Source organism: Homo sapiens, chromosome 14 (genome assembly GCF_000001405.40).
Source record: "Homo sapiens chromosome 14, GRCh38.p14 Primary Assembly".
Taxonomy (NCBI): domain Eukaryota; kingdom Metazoa; phylum Chordata; class Mammalia; order Primates; family Hominidae; genus Homo; species Homo sapiens.
In genome coordinates, this window is record NC_000014.9 from 78,289,680 (window position 1) to 78,308,423 (window position 18,744).

Consider the following 18,744-nt stretch of genomic DNA (forward strand, 5'->3'; position numbering starts at 1 on the left):
CCGAGGTGGGCAGATCACGAGGTCAAGAGATCAAGACCGTCCTGGCCAACATGGTTAAACCCCGTCTCTACTAAAAATACAGAAATTAGCTGGGCGTGGTGGCAGACACCTATAATCCCAGCCACTGGGAAGGCTGGGGCAGGAGAATCGCTTGAACCTGGGAGGCAGAGGTTGCAGTGAGCTGAGATTGTGCCACTGCACTCCAGCCTGGCAACAGAGTGAGACTCCATCTCAAAAAGAAACAAAACAAAACAAAACTGCTCAATGGTAGCTCTCATGTTCTTACATGAGTTTTTTACAAAGTTAGCTGCACATAGTAGTTCCTTGAGCTGTTCTGCATGTTGACATGTTTTGGGTCCCTCATGGTCCTAGGTATTCTCCTTTGGAATTAATACTCCACTTGACTAATGCCTCCCCTAATGTATGGCAACATACACTGAACCAAAACCCTATATCTGGTATAGACAATGCTGAGAAAAGGTGAGACTTTTGAACATTTTTATTCTGGTAGGTAGAGGATTGCACTTAAGTGCCAAAATTTACATTTAGCCCTTAAAATTAAATTTCACTTTTGCCTGTTCTCATCCTTTTGGACCCTAATTCTTATATCTAACAAATTAGTTATTTTCAGGTTGAGGTCATCACAACATCAAGACAGCATGCCATGAATGTCTTCAGACACATCATTGATCCAAATGTGGAGCAGGCCTAGGCTCTGCTGTAAGGAACTAGTGAACCCTGGGCAGAAAAAGTAGATTCAGGTTCACAGTGAAGGTCAGGGAATTACTCAGGGAAGGGCTGGTCTGAGACAAAATTATGGATTTCACCTGTAATCGCAACTACTCAGGAGGCTGAGGTGGGAGGTTCACTTGAGCCCAGGAGTTTAGGGCTGCAGTGAGCCACGATCCACGATTGTGCCACTGCACTCTAGCCTGGGCAACAGAGTGAGACCTTGTCTCAAAAAAAAAGGGGGACTTAGGTAGAAGGTTTTTTCTAACCCTTCCCCTTTCCTGTAAACATTCTTCTCAATCCCACGCTGTCTCCTGTGCCCTGCCTCCTGCCCATGGTGGCAGACTTCTTCAGTCTGCATGTCTCTTGAGTTTCTCCATTCAAAAGCTCCTGTGCATGCCCCTGTCTTGGATGAGAGACCTTTAACCTGGCTGGCCTGATGATCTCATACATGACAGTATCCGTGACTGAGGAGTCTGAGTGGGTCTCATGTTTAAATTTGCGTTTTAAAGAGAGAAGTGGCTTTATGCCACTAGATAACTTGGGAAAGGAAGAATTTCATGTTTTAGTAGATTCTGTGGATGAGGATTGAGGAAAGGGAGAAGACAGCCATTTAAAAGGGCTTCCCAGGGCCCTTTAAACCATGCTGAGCCAGGGTCATAAATGAAGCTGATGTCTAGGCATGATTTTCTGCTTCTGGATTCTCTGAGATATGTCTCCTTTCTTCTCCATTAGCACTGAACTAGAGGGGGTAACTGGTGTCATGGTTACCATCACAGGCTGGAAAGTCCATCTGCTGGTGCAGAGTCCTCACTTCACCCCTCACTAAGGTAGTGTGACTTTAGCTCTCAGCTTCGGTTTTCTCACGTGTAAAATTAATGGTATAGCAATGTCTTTCCCATAGAGCTGTATTTAATGAGATAACACATAGCCATGTCTCGTCTGTGATAAACAACCAGCAGATATTAGCTGTTATTGTAATTCTCTTTACCAAGTTAACTGAATTCCGTCTCTTTAGTGCTTAAAATGCTAAGATGTGTATTTCAACTGGAAGATGAAATTCTTCCTTTCCCAGGTCATTTTTGGGAGGGTTATCAAGCCACTTTCCTCTTTAAAATGCAAATTGAACAACATGACTTTTTTTCCCTTTTCTCTCTTTTCCAAATTCCTGGTCACCCTACAGACACTTTTGGCTTCTGCAAATTTGGGGGCCCACCCTCTTCCCCCTTCAGTATCTACTGAGTTCTTCCAGAAACATCAGGTGAATGTTTCTATGACCTTCTGATTTTGCGTAATTACTCTTTTAAAAAGTCCTTGTGGCTTCATAAGAATTCATCGTTGGCACTTGGCACTTGCAGCAATTAGTGACATTTAATTTCTCTACTTCGCTATGAAAAAAAGAGATGATATATGTGGATTTTTCACTGAGATAAAAGTTACTCTGAAAGCGAGTGAAATAAAAGTCTTGGCAGAGATAACTTTTTTTTCGTCTTTTCTGAATCTTTTTCTTTTTTTCTCCCCTTGTGAGTGACTTCCTTCCTTCCCCGAAATGCTTTTGCCAATTACCCAGCCAGGGTGAAGGAAAGAAGAATGGATTTGAAAACCATCTGAGGTGGGTGGGATATTATAGATTTAAGGGGGAGACAATATTAGCTTAAATGATGGAGGCCTTCAACTTCTGGCCTGGTTCCTGAACATTACATCTTCCTCTTGCCTGTTTCAGTAAATGGTTTCTATTCTCTGTATTAGTCATTCTCATGACAGGCTTCATGATGGCCACAGCCGCTTACAAATGACTTTGCTTTCATAGCCATTTCCATTTTCCCGAGCTGCAAAAGCAGCTATAGCTATCTCCATGGGGATTTTCCCAAAGGGTGTAACATAGTTTAGAGGGCCTTACGTGTACTTTGCATATAATTTACATATGATTTGCAGTCTATTCTAAGGCAATTTCAACTTTGTATGCCTTATCTCCTGGTGATCTTTTTCTCCTCTTATTCCTCTATGTACCCTGAGAACCTGTGCGCCACAGATAGGCAGGTACAAGAAGGGTGGAATATATTAACAGGACTAGAAAGAGGGAGGTGGAAGGGTCAAAAGTATCAGACATCCTGTTGGGATCCAGCTGGAGTAGCACTTTTTCAGGGTGTGACATCAAACGGGAGACACTTCCGTTGCTTTCTTATATTTTTGTAATTATTTTTTAAAAAAGGAATTGTAGTTCCATAAGAATTTGACATTGGCAATTCTTAATTTCCTTAGCTGAACTTTAATGGTGCTGCATTTTGAGTCATAGCTGAAGATCTGTTCAAAGCCAGAGCCGATGGTGAGACTGTTTTGGAAAGGTGTGGTCCCCTCTGCTTCCATGAGCCCCCGTTTTAGCCTGTGCCTTTTCTTTTGGCAGCCCTGGAATATCAAACCCAGAATAAATGCCAAACTCCAAAACCAGCCAGGGTGCTTGTCCTAGGGCTGGCAGTGTGACCTGGGAGATTGCTGCTGATGGGCATGCATTTTGACCCCGTTTCTGAGGTCGACTAGAAGGTCCATCTTCATTTTTACCCCTTCCTCATCTACAACATACAGAATGCATGCCTAGCATAGACTCTGTTTCCTTTGTTGCTAATTATATCCTACTCAGTTAAGATTTTTTGAGCATTATTTTCTATAATTTATGTTGGAAAGCCATATAGTTCCTTTTCCTTTTTTTTTGAATGTAAAATTATTTCAACATTTATATCTTAATGTTGAATATGCTTGGAAAAAAGAACCTCCAGGATATCTTAATATTTCCCCACTCCTCCCAGGTTAAGACTCAGGGCTCCAACCCCTTTTCCTTTGAGGTGTCATTCACTGACACAGGTGCTGACCCTCTCATCTATGAATGGGGTTGTGAGAAGCCCTTATATTAATATTTGTCCTGACTCTCTCTCAGACTGTAGTCTTACATTGTTAAGGGCACACTGGATCTTTTGCTTGACTGATTCCTCCTTTCAGCTCTTTATGTGTCATACAGAACTTATTATCCCCACCACCTTGAATCCATCCCCCTACTCCATCCCACCTTCCTATTTCTGTTACTGTTTCCCCCAGTCTCCCATCCACCACTCTCCTAAAGGATCTCATCCATCACTGAAGCCTGTTCAATCCTCTTTTTTCTTTTCTTTCCCACTGCCATGATACTAATGTAGGTCCTTCCCCTGTAACTGAACTCTGTGCCTCCGTCTCTTTCCCCCTGATCCATCTCGTTCACAGTATTGCAAAAATAATCTTCTTCAATAACATCTTCCTTGGGTTTTTCTTTTGCCCATGAACCCTCAATGTCTCCCATCAATGACAAGATCAAGTCCACTTTGCTTAGCCTTGAAACTCCAGACCTCCATACTCTGATTCTTAGGATCATCTTTCCCTTTTTCCTTATATGAACTATGCATATGTATTCATTCCTTTATTTGTATAGCATGCTGTTACGTCTCAACCATGTACCTGGCAGTGTCCTGGTTGCTTCTGAAAAGCTAAACAGAAAAGTCCTTACCAATGCACTTTATGATCCTGGTAGCCCATGCTGCTACCTGGAATGTCCTCCATCTAAACCCTAAACCATTTTCCAAGACCTGTTAAAAATTCCTCTGTCCTCCAGAAACCTTTTCTGAGCACCTGGAACCCTCTTTATAGTCCCTACTGGTCTTATTGTCTGAATTAATCATTTGACACTTAGGAATTATCCATTCACTCATTCAATCATCAAACACACACTGAACACTTATTGTCTGTCAGGTACTATAATAGGTGTTGCCTTACATGTCAGTACATTTCCATAGCATAATAAAAATAACATCAACAACAACTGTTATAAAGCTCGTGTCAGGCTGGGCGTGGTGGCTTATGCCTGTAATCCCAGCACTTTGGAAGGCTGCAGCGGGCAGATCACCTGAGGTCAGGAGTTCGAGACCAGCCTGGCTAACATGGCAAAACCCCGTCTCTGCTGAAAAATACAAAATTTAGCCAGGCATGGTGGCACACACCTGTAATCCTAGCTACTCAGAAGGTTGAGGCAGGAGAATCACTTGAATCTGGGAGGCAGAGGTGGCAGTAAGCCAAGATTGCACCATTGCACTTTAGCCTGGGCAACAGAGTGAGATTCCGTCTCAAAAAAAAAAAAAAAAAAAAAAAAGAAAAAGCTCCTATGTGTAGGCACAAATTTGTATATGTTAATCCTCAAAGTAACTTTTGAGGTAGGCATTATTATTAGTCAAATTTTATGATAGGAAAATCAAGGCAAAGAAATGTTTAACAACTTTCCTAGCGTCACAAGTTAGAAAGTAGCACAGATGGAAATCAAACCTGGCTCTGAAGTCCTTGATCTTAACCCCCATGCATCACTGTCAGGTATGAGTATATATGGCAAATGTGTGTGTGTGTAAATATAAGCACATGCATACCTTCGCAGCTAGACTGAACTCTAGAGGTCAGGGATGATGTCCCACACTTACTTGTATCCCCACTACCTTATTCAGTCTATGCATGTGGTAGATACATGAATTGTTTGGATGATTGGTTGTTGGTACTTCCATTCACTGTTGAGGGGCTTGAGATTTTTAGCAACAAGTAGGAGTGTTTTGAGGTAGAAGGCGGAGAAGCAGAATTTCAAAATAGACCTGGGCATGATGGAATTCTTGGTTTCCAGTTTTTAACTCTGCAAGCTCTGAGGACAGGTTTGTGCAAGAAAATGTACTGATGTAAAAGCCCTTGAAAGTGGAAGATAATTCTTTTCTCAAAAAGCAAAATAAAACAAACCGTATTATGGTTACATGGTTTCTCCCCCCAGTCCTGTTTCCTGTCACACTGATTCATATCCATTTTGCTTTATTGGCTATAAAACCAAAGTTTTGGCATCAGGATCGTGTATCTCGTTTTCTGGCCTAGTATTTCTATTTAAGGGTTTTATAAGTTGAATATGAACATTTTATTTGAGTGGCAATACTGCAACTACATATGTAGTTTAATAAAACCTGATAAGTACATATTTGAATTTTAAAAACACAGGTGGTGAGTTATTTGCATTTTAAAAGGATTCTTCCCTTTACAAAAGGGTCCACTGCAGGGTTCTATTAAATATCCAATTCCCCTTAGTGCATTTATTATATGATTTAATTTACCAAAATTTGATTTATATGCCACTCTAAAGGGGTAGCTCTCAAGTTCCAGTAAGCATGGGAATCACTTGGGCAACTTGTTTAAAATTCAGATCTGGCCCCCACTCCTTCCCAAAATTCTGATTCATTAGGTCTTGGTTCGTGAAGCCCAGGATCTTCGTTTTTTAATAACCATCTCCAGGTGGCCGATGTAGATTGTCAGTGAAATACACTTTGGGAAGCATATAAGATAAAGCGCAATGATAGAGGTTTTTACGAGGCTTGAATCCCCTCTTACTACCAAATGTCCTGTTCACTATTTAGTAAATTTAAAAAATATTCACGTGGGTCAAATAAAGACTCTTCCATCGCTTTCCTACTCACTTCTTCCTGCAGCTGCCAAACATCTTTAATCTCAGGGGTAAAATGTTTGCCCTTTTTAACCCTCTATTTGACTCTTAGGTAGCTCTTCAGATCTTCCTTATTCTTTTCTTTTCTTTTTTTTTTCTCTCTCTCTGTCTTTTTTTTTTTTTTTTGAGACAAGGTCTTGCTCTGTCACCCAGGCTGGAGTGCAGTGGTGCGATCATAGCTCATTGTAGCCTCAAACTTCTTGGCTCAAGCAATCCTCCCACCTCAGTGCCCACCCGAGTAGCTGGGACTACAGGCATGCACCACCACCCACAGTTAATTCTTTAATTTTTATTTTGTAGAGACAGGGTTTCACTATGTTGCCCAGGCTGGTTTCGAACTCCTGGACTCAAGCTATTCTCCTGCTTTGGTCTCCCAAAGTGCTAGGATTACAGGTGTGAGCCACTCTTGTGAGCGTCACCTACTGAATTCATACACCTGTTCTGTTCCTGTTCCCCTTGCCACATACTCCAACAGACATTTTAAGAACCTTTATTTCTATGGAAGTTTCTTTTAACCAAGTCTAGGGCCTTTTCTCCTCTCTTCTTACTATACCCTTCCCCCACAAAAGACCCAAAATGAATTTTTTGAACAAAACAAATCATGAAAATGACTTGTTTTATCTTGATTTCATTCTTCCGTGAGTATTTATCCTGGTCCTAGAGCAACAAATACTAAAACTATCTATTTAAAATATTATAGTTTAATGAAACTTGTTTGACAAATAGACCCCCTGACATTTATGGCACATGTATCTGTGTATTTAATATATCATTGATCTTTTAAAAGTCAGTTGCTTGACCTATATTTTGTCTCTGATTACTTTTCTAAATCTCTAGTAATCTCTAAAAACATTTAGAGATTTCCATACTTTTTTTTTCCTTTATTAATCCCCTATATCCCTGAATTTTGCTCAGAGTAAGGTTCTCTGGAGTGATTTGGATATGTCAAATATCTCCAGTAACAACAGAACCAATACAAGAGCAGATAACTGGTACAATTGGTTCCTGGTTAAAAATTTTTTCTTCTTAATAGATTTATCAAGGCTTGTGCTTTCCTGAACCAAGGAGCTCTTAATATCCCTGTTTGCCTTCCATAATAATATAGCCAGAGGTTCTGTTATCTATTTATTGGGACTTTACATACCTTTTATAACCATTCAGTGCTTGGCTAGTCCTCCCTGATCAAGTGTGGAGGCCTTTCTAGGAAAGATGGTGGGGGAGAAGTGGAAGAAGTGGTATTGTTGTCCCTGGGCTAAGATGACAGTGATAGAAACAGTTCCAGGTTGTCTGAGCAACTCTTGTAAACAGGAACTTATTTGATACATTCCATATGATTCAATTTTTGTAGAAAAGACTATCTAGAGAAAAAAAAGTTGGATGGTAGTCTCTGGAAGGTGGGATTGCCATTGATATTTTTATTTTTGTTCTGATGATTTTTCCCAAGTTTCTACAGTGACCATGTATTGCTATTACAAGTAATTTAAAAGAAAGAAACCTACTTTACCTGGCGTCTTAAGTCTGCTTCCCAAGGGACTTAATCTTTAACAGATTTATCACAAATCCTACCTATTGCACAGAACAACGGTAAAAGGAAAGTTCTCGTGATTAGGCCCAGAGCAGTTCTGCAAACACAAGACTGTAAGCTAGAAAGCCAGGCTTTCTGCCCAGCAGCAGGAAGGCTGGGGTGTCCATGTTTGTTGCATGTCCCAGGGTATGTGCATGTGGAGTCTGACATGTGAGCAAGCGTGCGGCCCCTGTCACTCCTTTTTCCACTCAAGGATTAAGATTGTATTGCATTTGGGATTTTAACTTTGTCTTCTTTCTTTTTTTCCTTACCCTTCCCCACTCCTCTTCCCTTTCTCCCTGTTTCTCTTCCTCAGGCCTCTCCCACCTCATGATGAGTGAACAAGGTAGGTGCTTTGTGCTTGTGGTCCTGCAGCTGCCTGAACTGCTTGCCTCCGTGCCTCTGGCTGGTCACAGAGCCTCATCGTCACTGGCAGGCCATTCGCTGCCTGTCCTTCCTGCGCTGGGCCAGGCTGGCTGCAGGACCACCCTGCAGTGGGGGTGGGGGCACCTTCCTTGATGCATCGTGGTTTCCCACCCCTATTGTCCCCTTGGCTTCTCCATTCTCCACCACCATTTGTCATTTTGGGCGCTGGCCCTGCTGGGCTGCATCCGAGAGGGAAGCATGAAACCAGGCATGACGGTGTCGATAATGGGGGTGAATGAAGCTAATTTCAGAGCAACCAAGCGGTTAACTTCCTCCTGCTCCTCCCCAGGCCCCATGCCGGGGCTCCAGGCTGGGGGAGAGGAGCTGGGCTCCTCCCTGAATTTCCCTCTGCTTTTTGTCTTCCCCTCCATTACACTGCCCGTAATGATCTGCCTTCCATGGTCAAAGGAAGCCCTTGTGGGTTTGACTGTTTTCAGTTTTATATAAAAGCAAAAACCACCTAAAGAACATGCTAATGTCCTCATGGCAGAATACTAACTCATTATACACCCTGAAGAAAACTGCATATAAAGATCTGTAAATTCAGCATCTGCAACCTAAAATATTCAAATATGCAAGGAATGAACTGTGCAGGAAATTCAGCTCAGCTAAGCACAGGGTGGGATGTGAATGAAGCCTTTTTCTCCTAAATAAAAATTTTCCACATTATCAGCCTAAATCAGGAGTTGAGAGCTGAGCCTAGTTAAAATTGTCTTTTCCTTCACAGTTCAATTGCTGCTATTGTGTTTCTTCTGAGCCTTGGGATGATTGCAAGATTGGTCTACCTGCCTTGCCCTGTAACCAAAAGTCTAATTTTTCTTGACTATGTCGTGTTGAAATATACATGGGACTCAGCACCTCTTCTGGAGGACCAAAGAAAAAGGGAAAGAAGGATAATTCCATATATTCCTGTTTTTCTTGAGCTTTTGAGGAGGGTGGGACTTCCCCTCCCCTGCTCCCTGACATTGAGTCCATCAGACATTTTTGACATAAACGGCAGTATCATCAAATCAAGGAACTGCCCGAGGCTGGAAGAAGTTCGTTTATGGCATCCAGTTAGCTGTGGAAGTGGGCAGTCGAGGGCATCCTGAACTGACAAAGCAGGGTAAGGAGGAAGCCTACTTTTCCAATGTAAATGTATCCTCCAGACCTAAGCCAAGATCAGTGGTGTGGACTTCAGAAATTTCAATAAGGAGATGGTTTGGTAGAGACCATATGTCAAAAAATAGAACTGGGAGAGGAGATCAGGTGACTTCTCTAGTATTAGAAGGGGCTCCAGAAGAGGCTGAGATGAAGTCTCTGTTCTTGCAGTTTAGTGAGGGAGGGAAGGGCCAACAGCAAGTGACTATGAGGTGGACATGAGTAGGGGATGTACCTGATGTTGACCAGTGTGCAGGCAGCTTGAGAGAGTTAAGCACATCTCTTTGAGGAACCGAGCTCTATGAATTGCTGGAATTTGATGGCTCACCTTTGGTGACAAGTTACACCAGCAAAAGCAGACTCTTAGAGTCCCAATAAGCCCCTCCTACATTCTTTTTTCCCCTCCTACATTCTTTTTTCCCCTCCTACATTCTTTAGCCTTATGATCCCACGTGCCCCTTGGGAGTTCTCCAAGCTTTTATAGTGGCTTGGAGAACTGAGTGCATCACATCATAGGGCAGAGTGTGGCAAATGGGATAGGCTGATGGGGACTTCCTTGATCTTGATTTAACTTATTGCAGACACACTGATGCAGCATGGATATCTTGGAAGGCTAAATCCCAACACTGGTATGAAAAACATTTGGAGAGCCTATATTATATTCCTTATGCACACACACAGAGCTTCAGATACAACCATGCTCCGGGGGAATAAGTCTGGTACCTTCTAGAAAGAGAGAAAGACATAATGACAGACATGGATGTTGTGAATTCCTCTTTTGAGAGGTTTTCAAGAAAGGATGCAGAATTCTTCTGGGTAACTGGTGCTACTAATATTTTAAGTTGCAACTTGAAGTTTAATCTGTTTTTAAGACAGTCCTTTGACTGCATTCCTCTTCCTTTCATTCTTTCCATTTCCTATCCCCTTATCTGTTCTCACCCATTTGATGATTACCTAAAAAACCGATACTCTTCTTCTCACCAGTACTCCTTTCCTTTTCCTTATTCCTTCAACATGAAAAAAGGAGGCTTCTGTCTGGTTTCTGCTGAATCTTAACAATTTATTTTTGTGCCCATAAATATGTGTGGAAATATGTATGTATGTTGTGTGTACAACACCTATACATGTGTGTTATACTCTTGGTCCTCATAACTCATATTAATGTTAGGAAAATACAGGAGAACCTAGCTTCTCCGAGATGTCCCCTAATCATTTTTAGATTAAGTGCATGCAATTTCACATACATGTGGCTGTGCAGTACTTTTGCATGCAGACTTTGTCATGTTTCTGAGGATGGGACTGAGAAGAAATGAATGGGATGGAGCTTGAACATGAAGCTGAGGGAGCAGCCTTGCTGGTCACAGCGTTTACTGCTTGTTTAAGCTTCCACATTGTATGTTTGTTTTGCGCTGCCTCCTTAGGATGTTGCAATGCTACTGCCTTTACTGTTGTGAGTTTTTGTTTTGTGTGTTTTATGTCTCTTTGTGTGTTTGCAGTGTGCTGATGTTTGACTCTCCTTGCTCTCTCTCTGTCTCTCTCTGGCCGCCTCCATGGTGAACACCATGCTTCCTCTACTTAATTGGACCTTCATTTCTGTAGGTAGAAGTAAAGGTAGAGCTCACTTTATTTTTATCATTATAACTATCAATCTGCCTTTTGAAATATTCATGCATCCAAGAGGATTGTCGATTCTGAATACAGTCCAGATTATAAATTAATGCTTTTAACAACAACTGAAAAATAAGAATAAAAATAAAAAGCCAATGCTATCATTTCCCTTCAGTGCATTTCATGTTCAGTGTTTGGGGATGATTCTGTGTTGGCCTGCCTCCCTCTAAACTGAGGGCGGGCCTTCTGCATGATCTTGTACTCTTTCTATCAGGAACGGGGGAGGGTGTTCTAAGATCCCCTCCCAGTAAATATATTGAGGGAACAGGGGAAGTATGAAATTATGTATCATTGTTGCTATTATTTGGAATAACTGAATTTGGGGATAACATTGGTGGGGGAAGGATGATAGATGAGAAAGGGAGAGAATTGGTGAATTGCCTGAAATTTTATTTAATGTGGAATTGGGGGGGATATTTATTTATTTCTCTTTTTTTCCTGTGTTGTTTTTCCTGTATATGTGGGATTCGGAATTTTCTGATGGGGTGATGGGTTCAGAAGGGTGGAACTGGGAGGGTGTGAAAGAACACAGGAATGAAAATGTGTTACACAGTCAGGAGGAAGAGGAGAAAGAGATAACGTAGGATTTTAACTTACAAAGCCAGCCTTTTGCCAGGTAGGCAGAGAAAAGGAGAGGGGCTGAGTGTGCAAACTTGCGCCAACACTCTGACATGCCTTTCATCGCACCACACCTTTGGGTAACGCATCCATTTCTAATCAAAGCTGTCAGAGACCCGAGCCTAGAGAACCTGGCTCACCAGCTCAAATTGGATTAGTTGTTCAGGAGTGAAGGGAGAGGTTAATTGATAAATTATAAATATGTATCTACATCTAGTCTTCCCTGTTTCCTCCCTAATTCTCCAGCCCCTATCTCAATGAGTCTGTGTGCTGTCTCTTCCTTCAAAGACTGGCAAGTAACAGAAGTAGGAAATGTGTTTTATGCCATGAGGATGTTGAAGAAAGAAGGGGCTGACAAGTTGTTGAAAACATGGATTCAGTGACACGTCTGTGAGATGGCTATCGCTTATTTGAGTTTTATGCTTTTCTGGGTCTTTGAAAAGTTATGTATGGTTGCCTTGGAAGCAGTTCAGTCCTTTCCACTTTGGGGTTGGTTGATTGCCTGTTCCTTTTATGCTAATCCCAGGTGGCTTCATTCTCAGAAATCTGTCATGGGGAACCCTTACCCCATTGCTAAGTTGGTATCTTTTGAAAGGAGGTGGGTGGGAAAGCAGGGAGAGGAAGAGGAATAAATGATTAAAGGGCTACATCTGGCTGTATCTCCACCTCTCCACTGACGCTACTTAGTGGAAGGCACTGGTGACCTCATAGGCACAGCCACCAATCTGCCTAGGACTCAACTTTTCTGATGCGTGTGGCACTGTTGCCTCTTCTCTCATTGGCAATACATTAGATTCAGTCTCTGTCTCTGTCTCCTTGTCTTTCCCTAATCCCCTACAACATCCCATAAAATAGATGTTTTGAGTGTTTTTTAGATTTTGCACGTGAGTATCTTATTTTCTTTCTCGGAGTCACTGCTACTACCACTACTAGAAGCTGCTGACACTTTCATGCACCAGCCATTGTGCTATATGCCTAATGGGCTTGTCACACTTAATGCTCATAACTCATCTGTGAGGTAGGTGGTGGCATTATTCTTGTTTTACGGATAAGAACAATAAGACTCAGAGTCAGATAACATAAGCCAATGACTACTAAGTGAGAATCAAACCCAGAATCTGTGCCCCTAACCCCTACTCTATACTGTCTTTCCCGGATACAAGGGTGACCTCCACGTTTAAGCCTTCTAGCTACCTCTCTACACTGACCTGTCATAAGTTCCAGCCTACCACCTTGCATTCTCTGTAGCATATGTCTCTGTAAATGCCCCACTAAGGGAGGCACTTCAGTGGGCTCAAAGTCAACCTTCATGTCATCTGCCCACAAACCAGCTTCCCTTTATGATGTCTCCCTGTTTGTTAACGCATTTCCCACCTGCCTTATCACCGTGGGGTGTGAAACCCAGGAATTACTTTCTATCATTCTCCTTCCTGAACCTTCCTCCTCCTAGGCAATTGGTAGAGAGAGAGCTTGTTGAGACTCTCCTCCAGAATGTCTCTTGCATCTCTGCTGTCAGCTCCCTGGATCAGTTTCCAGTTAGCACTTACTCAATTATTGCCCTCTCCTAATTGGTCTTTCTGCCTCTGTTCTCTTCTAGTCTATCCAGTGGTTGAGAATTGCTTAAACTCTGCGGCCCACAAATGGAGTGCAGGATTAGCTATCTCCCTTTCAAAGCCTTCCCTTATATGGTCGTGTTTACCTTTATCTTGCTCCTCTGTTAAGCTTAACTACAAAATTGCTGCTCCAGCCAAGTGGAATACCAAATAACCTCTCTAGAATTTCCTCATCTCTTACCTTTGCTTATTCTGTTTCTCTACCTTTTAATAGTCCCTCATCCCCTTTTTTCTGCCCATTGAAAAATACATATATTTCATTTCTTATGTGATATTTTCCTTGAATGCTCCATTCAGAGTTGGGCTCTTCCTCCATGTACCTCTCTAACAATTTATATGGAAGTTAATTGGGACTTGGACCACTCCCCTCTACTAGATTGCACGTACGTTGAAGACAAATGTATTCATTTGTTAACATCCAGATGTGTCTAGCATAGTGTGTTCCATGCAGAAAGGACTCAAAATCTCTAATCCTCTTATCTTGCTGTCATTTATCTTCCTAAAAGTGAAAATAAAGCAAAATTAAAATTAAATCGGGTCATGTAGCTCATCTGTTCCAAAGTTTTGGGTAGATTCTTCTTGTATAATTGTCAAGGTGCCTTCCCTGCTTTATTTTCAGTGGGCATACCCCCTCTGCCCACCTATCACCCCTGCCAGCTCCCCCATCTCCAAAAGTCCCAAAGTCACTCTGCTTGCATCCACACTGCATTCTCCTGCCTTTGGACTTTTGCTAAAGCTCTATTCTCTTTCTTAAATGTCCTTGAACATGCTTCTCCCTCTTATCCTTGAAGATCCAAGCCTCCTAAGTCTGCCAGACTTTGTGCTGTGTTATAAGGTACCTATGCCAAACTGCCTTGAGTCACGTTTACTCATGTATTTCAATCCACTCCCCAACACCTGTCCCACAAAGGACCAAGACTTGTGTCTTTGCCCTCTCTGTCACTCATTCTACACAAGCTCAGTACTAGGGCCAGAGTCGTACTTAATGAATGCTTACAAAATTAAGTAATGGTTTAACTGAACTAAACAACTGATTTTAGATATGGGGGGAGGGGAGATAGACAGGATTAGATTTTCAACACTGATGTTAGTAATGAAATCTCTCTACTTACTAACATGTACCCCTTTTCACAACCCTCATGACCCCAAATCACTGAGCAAAGGAGTCCCAATGGGTCATGAAGTAAGACCACGTGTTCTGGCTCCACTTCCCTCCTCACTAAGGCCTTCTCTTGGCCCTGTGTGTGCAAGTGTCAGAGGGAAAATTTTATAGATTACACCAGAATAAACGTGGGAAAGGTCTTGAATTTATTCTTAGACATTTGTCAGAGAAAAGAAGGACTATGCCTCAGATGTTGTCATTCTTTTAAAGCTGAATGATGAAGTAGTAAATCCATAATGGAAAGAATTGTCAAGTTAAATCTACAAAACTGAGCAGGGTGGGTAGGCTATAACAAAAACCACTCTGTTGAGGAGGCCGTTGGGCAGGACATGGCCAGAAACAAGCGTGAACTTACCTAGAAGTGGCTCACACAGAGGACTTCAGCAACCAGCCTTGGTCAGGTATTTCGAAAGCCCCTGTTTAAGTGTTGAGAGTATATTTTGGCCTTCTTCCCCTTCTTCTAGTCCATTTAGGGATTGCCCGTTCTGGATGAGGTTACCAAATACCTTCCCTTGAAACTGAACTCAGGGCAGGGGTCACAGACCCAAAAGCCAGCAGGGACCTGACCAGTCTTAAGAAGTAGACCTGGAGATAAGTAGTGTCCTAGTGTAAGAGAAGCAATAGGTCATGGTGGGAATCATGGCAAACTGGAGAGTGCAAGTCCCATCAAAGGCAGTAGTCTCCACTCTGTTCCAGCTGATCGCTGCCATGCAAGGATGCAGGCACAGTCACCAGATGCTCAAGAAAAGCCAGAAGTGGACGTGATAAAAATGTCATCTGAAGGTATCTTCTCTGTATGTACGTATGAACACACACACACCTGCGTGCCAGATGATTTGGTGCATGAGTCATAAGTTTTTGACCTTTGGCTTGAGAAGACAGGAGGAGAAAAAGATTCCTTCAAGATTTCTTACTGGATGTCAATAGTGGGAGGTAGTTTGATTAATTTTCTCTTTGACCATTGCTGTGATCAGTTACCAAGAATCCTTCCTACCCTTGGCACTACCTTCGGAGAGGCTGGTCTGTGTGTTGGGTAAAGTTGCTTTTGTAGAGTGGTGTGGGAAAGTGTGGGGAGGGTATGGAGAATGCAGAGAATGACCTGGGAGAGAGGTATCTGACATCTTTAATAACGATCAAGAACTGATTTTTAAACCTTTAGGGCGGCCGGGCAGCAGGGGGATTTAGTTTCTTTTTCCTTTTGCTCTACAGAGTTTTGTATTCACTGGATTGCCTGGTGTTGACCCTAAGATCTATTCTAGTCCTTTAAAGTTCAGAAGCCCTTTTTGATTTGTTTATGTGTATTTTTCCCATGTAGATTTGATCACTGGCCTTCTAATGCTGAGCTAATCAACACTGGCCAAACTGGAAAGATATAATCAAGCTACATGAATTTGAACATGATTTCATGTAGATTGCATTTTACTGGTAATAACATTAAGAAAGCTGATTTGAGGAGCTGAGCCCCCTCTTGTCCCTGCTAGGACTTGAGAGCCTTGAAAATAAGTTACTGCCTTGATAGCCAACTGTGTATGCAAATTCCTTTACTAATGCCAGCTACTAATTATGAAAATAAACTCATCTGTGCTCTATAAATATCTAATTATAATAAAATAGGGGCAGTATTACATTTCCATCTCTTGTCTCATCTGTTTCTCATCCACCACTGATTTGTCCTCTTGACAGTGAATATAAAATCGCTTTGTTTTTTCAAGAAGCCTGTTTTCCATGTATTTTTTCTTCTAATGTTTTGAAAGTCTGTGGGGGAAAATAGATTTATTTTAAACATAAAAAGTAAATTGCTTGATTTTAGCAGCTCTGTGTTTTTGGCAGTGATGTCTTTGAGACGGTGCTTGAAAAATATGAAAAGTGTGTTTTTTTCTTGTTTAGAAATTTTGACTGGACACCAAAGACATTTTTTGCATGGATGTTTCTTGGAGCATTCAAAAAAGTGTTAATGTGAACAGAAGATTTATTAATAAAATGTACAATGTATCAGTAGAACATTTTAATTAAATTCCAACTGACAATACATAAAAGAAATTATTTCTCAGATTTTGAAACAACATGTCTGTTTCCTCCTCCTCAATGATCAATTTGGATTTATTGATTACTTATAGATTTTATGTCTGCGTATATATGTCATAAAATACTTTCTCCTCTAAGGTATGAATAATGATCTATCTGTTTGTATAGACCTTTGCTTATCCAGTTGAGTTAGTTAATCTTAGAAGATATATAATTTTCAACTGTAGATCAATATGTATACACACATAAACTTGACTTTGATAGCACCTACAGGCAAAGAATGTTTTGAATTGTGTTGTCTTTAAGATACATCTCATTTGTAAAGAATTCGAAAGAGTAGTCTGATGGAAAGATACTTAATGAGAGAACAAGCAAAGTGCATTTCCCCTTGTGCTTAGGCTTGTACATGCCATGGTCTGTTTCTTAGGTGTGTAGGGCAGTGTATATCTGAGTATAGGTACAATTTGCACAAGTACATATTAATAGGCTTATACTGGTGTATTGTGTTTTTATGTGTAGTTGCCATTTGTAGGTGTACTGAAAATAATAGATTCCAGGGTGACATGTATCAGAATTAAGCAGATCCTCTGCTTCAATATTAGAAAAGCAATGCTTATTTGGCATTCAACAAATATTGATGGAGAGCCAACGATATGCTAGGTGCTAAGTACACAGAAACTGAGCAAACATAGACCCAGCCCTCTGACACCTTGCTCACAGTCAATGGGAGTTTGAAAATAGCTTTCAGATGTAACAACCACCTTTCCTCAAGTAAAAAGCCTTAAATGCATTGTTTTTAATGTATTTTTATATATGCAGTTTTTAAATTAATTTTTTTATTTTAAAGGGAAATTGTTAGGTAATCATTTAGTCAGATCACCCACGCTTTACATTATCAGAATCAGAAAAGAAAATGTGCTTTGTGTGTGAACACATAGGGAATTTTTTATTTGCTTGTCATTTATTTGTTTATTGGGGATGGCATACACAGTGCAAAGTGTATAAAATGCATGCTCTTAAGCATACAGCTTAAAGGTTTTTTTTTTTTAACCTGTATATACCCACATAAATACCATCCAAATCAAGAAATAGAATATGCCCATCACTATAAGGTTCCATTGTGACCCTTTCTGCCATTACTTCTTTTTCTTTATTGGTTGATTTATTTTTTAAAAAATTACCGTTTATTTTTAATAAATACATGTATTTTCCCCACTCAATCCAAAATTGTGTTTATCCATGTAATAATCAGTAGGCAGGCTCTAGATTGCTTAACTTTCATTAAGAAGGATTAACCTTGTGAGACACCCAGGCAGTGTGGTTTTTCACTGTGTGTAAATAGAAGCAAAAATATTGTCCTCTTGTGAGGTAGCTTTGCCCTGTTTTTGATGAAGCGCAGGTTTCCCTCTATACAAAGAGAATACCTAATTGATATTATTGAGTTTTTCTCTTTTTTCCTAAGGCATTTAGTGGTAAGCAGAATAGCAGAGGTGGAAAAGACCATATGCTTTGTAAAAAGCCAGACTAATAACACTTTTTGATGGATGTCTGATTGTAAAAGTGCTGCATCTTTCATTAAAATTTACATGTAAAGCAAGGGCAGAAGCGATGACATGAAACCTAATCCAACTTGCACATCTTGACATAATAACAATCACAAGAAACTGCAGATCCCAGATGGCAGCTTGGCCTTTGCCATCCTTTTAATAAGCTACTAACTGCTAATTATTTCACTCTTTTGGGCAAGTTAATTTACTGTTGACTCTTAAAGAGATACTGCTCTTTTTTTCCCCCAACCCACACAAAACAGAGACCTTCCACCTGGAGCTTTGAAAAGTGCTTCCCTGCAGGTTGGAAGCTTTCCAGTCAGTTGTAACAACGATGGCAAGTATTGGGATGAAAAATGTTGCTTAATAACATTTTCTTGTTTTTTTTTTATGAATATAGAGAATTTAAAAAATTTGTTCGACTAAAGAGCCATTGTGTGCATGTGCATGCATGTGTGTGCGTGTGTAAGAGCAATAGATGGAGCAGCCAATGCAGGGAGAAGATCTGAAATTTGGAGCCTATTTAAGAGTGAAAGAACAGCTGCCTTTTAAATGGTTGCTAATTCTGACAATTAATGCTGTTCTGTGAGTGTGTGATTTTCTGTGATAGCAGTTAGGAGGGATGATGGTGTGTAATAGCTCATTTCCTAAGCTTTATGGTAATGTAGCATAGTCAAGACCATAGAACTGAAAGAGAACTGGGTCCCACA

The 18,744-nt window shown here is 41.0% G+C and overlaps 1 protein-coding gene across 51 annotated transcripts in view; it reads left to right on the forward strand.

Moving 5' to 3' along the window:
* NRXN3 (neurexin 3) overlaps positions 1-18,744 on the forward strand; it is a 1,697,919-nt gene that overhangs the window by 119,307 nt on the left and 1,559,868 nt on the right. For 32 of the 51 annotated variants that reach the window (NR_158974.1, XR_007064051.1, XM_006720322.3 and 29 more), the window contains exon 4: positions 8,152-8,181. Coding sequence is in view for 45 of the 51 variants with exons in the window: in XM_006720322.3 (XP_006720385.1) it covers positions 8,152-8,181 (30 nt within the window). In the remaining 6 variants the exon portion in view is untranslated. Of the gene's footprint in view, positions 1-8,151; positions 8,182-11,000; positions 11,013-18,744 lie in introns of all 51 variants that reach the window. The other 19 variants (NR_158973.1, NR_158975.1, NR_073547.2 and 16 more) reach the window with 1 other exon arrangement.